The sequence below is a fragment of the Homo sapiens genome, chromosome 5 (assembly GCF_000001405.40).
Source record: "Homo sapiens chromosome 5, GRCh38.p14 Primary Assembly".
Lineage (NCBI taxonomy): Eukaryota > Metazoa > Chordata > Mammalia > Primates > Hominidae > Homo > Homo sapiens.
In genome coordinates this window covers 86,784,927-86,791,155 of record NC_000005.10, presented here as the reverse complement: position 1 = coordinate 86,791,155, position 6,229 = coordinate 86,784,927, and the positions used below count along the sequence as shown (strand labels likewise).

The 6,229-nt window shown below is 34.9% G+C and overlaps 1 annotated feature.

The window, feature by feature from the left end:
* Positions 3,837–4,037: a silencer, noted in NCBI's record as "peak5330 fragment used in MPRA reporter construct". NCBI's record gives its function as "represses an SCP1 promoter by STARR-seq MPRAs in K562 erythroleukemia cells {active_cell/tissue: K562}" and the evidence as "EXISTENCE:reporter gene assay evidence [ECO:0000049][PMID:32103011]".

Here is a 6,229-nt window from a genome sequence, read left to right as displayed (position 1 = left end):
GGTTTTAAGACTGGGGCAGGGAAAATAAAGACAAATTTGGAACATTTTGTAGTGCTGAAAAATAAGGTAGCATTCAAAAAATAACATGAGCTGGTTGAAAACACACAGAAGATAAATTGAAGGAGATCCCAAGACAAAATCTGGAACTATTTGAGCAAAAACTCATTATAGTGATGTATTATAACTCATATGATGAAAAATGTCTATTAGTCTATACTGAAATGGATGAATGAAGAAGGGAAAGCTCTTTCTTATGGTAGAATTTGAATTAATAAATGAGGAAGGATTGATGGAAATAAAATGTCACTATTTGGAAAAGTCCAGAGGAGAAACCTAGTAGACATGATCCAAATGATCTGAGAAATGCATTTGGCAATTTTGTCTTTGTGGGAACATCAGAGTGTACTTATACAACCTGCATGGTATAGACTATTGTTCCTAGGCTAAAAAGCTTCACATTAAGTTACTGTACTGAATACTGTAGGCAATTATAATATAATGGTAAGCATTTATGTATCTAAAGATAGAAAAGGTACAGTAAAACTATGGTGTTATAAACTTATGAAACCACTGTGCTATATGTGGTCTATTGTTGTCCAAAAACATTGTTACGCATTACATGACTATATATCAAAATTGTGTGTCTTCAAATTTACTAAGAAGAGGACGGCATTACTACTGCAATATTCTTCCTAAAAATGTGTAACATTAATTCATCATGAATAAATATCAAACAAACCCAGATTGAGAAAAATTTTACAAATAACTGGCCAGTATTCTTTAAAAGTATCAAGGCATGAAAGACAAAGGAAGACTCAGGGACGGAGGGACAGTCACAAACTGGAAGACTAAAGAGAAATGACTAATAAATGCCATGTGCGATTCTTGATTGGCTCCTAGACCAGAAGCATGACATGAATGAGACAATTACGGAAATTTTCATAAGGTAGGTACTAATTAATAGTAATATATTATTAATTTCCTGATTTTTATACTTGTAGTATGGCTATGTAACTTAACATTTGGAGAAACTGAAAGAAGAGTATAAGGGAGCTTCTTATAGTATTTTTGCAACTTTTTTGTAAATCTGTATTTAAAATTAAAAATTTAAAAATAAGTTTAAAAATTCTAAAAGTTACCTGAAAGAGAATGAGGGCTCAAAGATTATTAGCAGTTATTACTTATTATTTTGAGTTCTGCAGGCTTATTCATCAAAGCCAAAGTTTCAAGTCTAAGGGCTCACAATTACATTTTTTAAATTAAGTTCCCCTGGAAGGAAATTCTGTGAATCATCTCTGAACTTTCTGCATCAAAATCACCTTGCATGTATTTCCCAAGTGCAGATTTCACGGTCGTTTCAAACTACCTGAATTAGGATGGTGAGTCTCTGCATACTAAGAATTCTGTGATGTTGTATGCACGAAAGAAAAAACTTTATTTGCCCTTACCTTAAGTAACAGCTAGTTGGTTATAAAAATCTAAATAATATTTTTCCCTCAATACTATTCAGTGTTGCTATACAGGAGTCTAACATCAATTCAATTTTCGCTTTTTAGATGATCTTTTTTTCTCTCTAGAAGCTTACAAGACTTTCTCTCTTGATGTTCTTAAATTTCACTGGAGTTTTCTGTGGTATAGGGTTTTCAGGATCTATTCTGTCCACTCTGTCTTTTTATCTGAGAGTTTTTATCATTCTTTAAATCTGGGTAAAATTTTTTCCTTCTTTTGAGGGCTTTATTATATTTTTATTTTACTTTATTTTATTTTATTATTTATTTATTTAGAGACGGAGTTTCACTCTTTTTGCCCAGGCTGGGGTGTAATGGCATGATCTCGGCTCACCACAACCTCCGCCTCCCGGGTTCAAGTGATTCTCCTGCCTCAGCCTCCTGAGTAGCTGGGATTACAGGCTGCCTGGCTAATTTTGTATTTTTAGTAGAGATGGGGTTTCTCCATGTTGGTCAGGCTGGTCTCGAACTCCCGACCTGATCCGCCCACCTTGGCCTCCCAAAGTGCTGGGATTACAGGCGTGAGCCACTGCGCCCGGCTGAGGCCTTTATTATATAGGTGTTAAAATGTTCACTTTCTTCCCCTTTATCTTTTTATTGTTCTTCCTTTTATTTTTTCTTTTCCTGGGGCCTTTAAAGAGCTCTTTCACCATTATATTCTAGTTCACTAATTTGTTTTTCAGCTTTCTATATCCTACTATTCAATTCATCCACTGTATAATTTCAACAATTATATATTTTATACCTAATATCTTCTATTGGGTTCCAAAATTCTTATGTCTCTGAGGAAATCTATTATGCTTATACAAAGTATTAAATTCTTTTTATACCATTAGCTCTTCTAACTCTGGTATAAATGTCTCTATTTGTTATCTTTCTTTCATTGTACTTTAAGTTCTCAGAGGTCATGTTAATTCTTCTCTGTGAATTCATCTTTTGTTTCCTTGAAATTATCAACTGCTCTGCTTAATTAATATTGAAACTCTCAACACCCCTTGTATCCCCTCCCCTTTCTTTCCTTCTCTTTTCTTGAGACTCTGATAAATAATTTAGACACATTATAGCAATCAGTACAGAAAACCTTACTCCAATGAAAGGTTAGTGCCGCATGCATGCAACCAGAACTAGGTGGACACCTTTTTACTTTCCATTGCCACATTGAACTTTGTCTGAGACCTGTGCTTTTAGAAAAAATTTCCACACTTTAATGGGTTTCAGGAATGGTTAACCACCAAGGACCACCTGAAATCTCATATTGCAAGATAAAATCCATCTCCATCTTTCCTCAGTGACTTAGATAACACATGTCTCCATCATTATGATGACTCCTAAAAGATTATCTGATGACTCCTTTGTCTAATTTTGGGGCCCAAGTCCTCTTCCTTTTAAGATGTTTCTCATTAATGAATATTTACATTCTCCTGATTATAAAGGCCTAAATAAAATTATCTCCTTAACTGCTTGATGCATTTTTTTTTGTCTTTTATATCACTTATAACACTGCTTTAGCGTGTATATTTTTCAGCATGTAATCTGTGTCTACATGGAGTTCTCTGGGTGGGATAGATTGGTTTCAGAGAGCAGCTATATATGCAAATACCTCACATTTTTAATTCTTTGACATCTTTTACTCTCCAACAGTTTGTCTTTAGCTTGTTAATAATGAGAAGTATTTTAAATGTTGAATTTCTAGTATTTCTTTGCTGGTTAGAAATGAATTTAATTTAATTTCTGATAATAGAAATTCTCTAATATGTAGGTTGTATGCTGCACAAAATTTAAACTTTCAGTGTGTGATTTCCTCTAAACCAAAATGAAAATGTTTTCTTGTAGCCATCTATTTTTTAAGAAAAAAAATCGCCGGGCACAGTGGCTCAATCCTGTAATCCCAACACTTTGGGAGGCCGAGACGGGTGGCTTACGAGGTCAGGAGTTTGAGACCAGCCTGGTCAATATGGTGAAAACCCGTTTCTACTAAAAATACAAAAATTAGCAGGGCATGGTGGCACGTGCCTGTAGTCCCAGCTATTAGGGAGGCTGAGGCAGGAGAATCGCTTGAATCTGGGAGGTGGAGGTTGCAGTGAGCCAAGATAGTGCCACTGCACTCCAGCCTGGGCAACAGAGCAAGACTGTCTCAAAAAAAAATTTATATTGATTTTCATCATCTCCTTGACTTTTCAAATTTTTTACTTCGGTAAAAGGAGGAAGTGGTGTCACAATTTTATGTTAAAAGACCCTACCATTTTCCTAATATCAATGGAAATACAAGTCGCTCTTTTTTGAAGAAACACAGCTTGGTAAAAGTGGCCATATAAAATCATGTGAACAGCTTAATCAGTGCGAGCTTGTGTCTGACTAGAATGTGCTTGTAGTGTCAGGCTCTCTTTTTAGTCTGAGTGTTGTTCCCTGTCATCGCCCTCTACATAGTCTCTGCCCTTCTAGTCTTATCTCTCATAAAAGGCTTAGGAAATGTTGGGGGAGTTGCTGATCAGCCAGCAGAACTGTCAAAGCATCAGTCATTCTGGCCTTCCTTCCAAGAAACAAAACAAATTACTCTCCCAGCCAGGCTCCTCAGTGCCCTCTGGGCTCAGGTCTAAAACTGTTTGAACTCTCCCATATGGCTCTCAACATGTGATTGTGTCATTCCATCAGGAAGCCACTCAAAGGACATTTTCTCAGCTTGATTTATATTTTCCTTTTATCTCGAATATGCTTCCAGGAACACAACATCTTTGTCCTGCTTTGTCTTCTCTACTTGCCCAGTTTTATTTTTTTCCTTTATTTTTGGTAGTCCACTTATTTACTAGATTGAAGGCCAGAAAACATGCCAAACATTTTTGTCTGTTCTAGATTTAATATTGCCATATCAAGCATTCTCTTTTTTGTTTGCATTTGTGTGATCTCTGTGTGTGTGTGTGTGTGTGTGTGTGTGTGTGTGTGTGTGTGTGTGTAGCAAACAAATTTCAGAAGATTTAGACTGTCCACTAAATCACCAAGCCTTTGGACAACGAAAGAGAGGGAAATTTTTTTTTTTTGCAAATAGCTTTCAGAAAGAGGCCATTTATGAATATATTATATTCCAGTAGGTCAGGTACAGCCTTCTAAAATGAAGCCAAGTCAATATTTGAGAACATAAGGGAGCAATGGCTTGTGAAACTAGTGGTATGATTTGTTGTTATCTATTTCATTAGTGTGAGTGGTACAATTTAACTTAAACAAAATACAGAATACTGTAAAACCATTGCTGCTGTCAAAGAATTTCAATCTAGCTATGCTGACAAATAAATACAACTTGAAGACAGATCTTATACATAAAGTGTAGACCTTAGAATTTCACCCTTAAAAAAGCTTAGGGATAAATTTCAGAACTCTAGGGGAATGAGGCAACTTCTCTAATCCACAATAAAGATAAAAAAGAAAAGTTTTTGGGAGAAGCAAAATGAAAAAGATTTTCTCAGAGAAGAAAATGGATTTGGGCTCATTTTGTGTTTCTGATTTTCTATTTCTTGCTAATTGTTTTTCCCTACCGTGTTAACATTTATCTGACTCAGCTTAAGAGTGACAGTAACTCTTTCACTTGGTATTTGGATTTCCTAAGAAAGACCCTTGATGAATTGTGAAAGATAATTTATTTTCTGAAGAGGGAAGGTTCTCTTGCTCCTTGCCAGTTATTGAGTAATTCCGACTCAGAATGTCTCCAACTTCTCTCAAGCAATCAGACAAAATATAGTTTATGATAATTTACTGTTTAGTTGCCCACAGGCTCATAGATCCCGTGGGTCTGCTTCACCTTTATAAGTGATGCTGAAATCCAGAATGCATCATAGTCAGTTGGTCTAGGGGAGAATATGAGGAAAGATTCATTGAAAAATATAACATAGTGGGTGTTTGAGATGTAATGCTATTTCATACGTACATGGACACACACATACATATATATACTTATATACATAGACACCCACATATATGATATATACATTTGATATATATACATACAACATATATATACACACATACATACATAATTATAATCAACTACTATAGCCCCTGATTCACTTGGACATTTTCAATTAAAACATAGGTAAACATCATTTTATGTTTTCTCATACATCCTAAAGGTCTTAAAAGGCACAGAAGTGATGAACATGAGTTAGTCAATTAAGATCTTGACTAATTATGTAAATTGTCATTAATTTCTCTTCAAATTCTTAAGTAAAGTCACTTATTTTACTTGCTATATGTTTCTTAGTCCTAACCAGACTCACTTAGCTGCTAGTAAAATTTAAAACACATCTTAAAGACTAAGAGTGCCTACATCAACTTTAGATTGATTTACTCATTCACTTACGGATGTCAGAATATTGATTACACTTCTACCATGTACTAGATCCTCAAGAAATAGAAGTGGAAAAGGTAGATGAGGTTTCTACTTTCACAAATATTATACTGCAATCTGAAATAATCAGATAAATACTGGGTAAACTAGCAGTAGTATCTTTTGGGTTTTCCACTGGAAAGTAGTGTTTAAAAAGTATTTATTTTTAAAAGTTAATATAAACCTACTATGTGCTAGGCACAAGAGATAAAAGTACCTATAAGCCAGGGAGTATTCTGTCTCTTACATTGCTTGGTGTGTTTAATTACTATGGAGTTGCCTCTCAGTTGTAGCTTTGATCAGAAGATTGGCACATATGACAAAAAATCAAAGAAAGTAACATTAC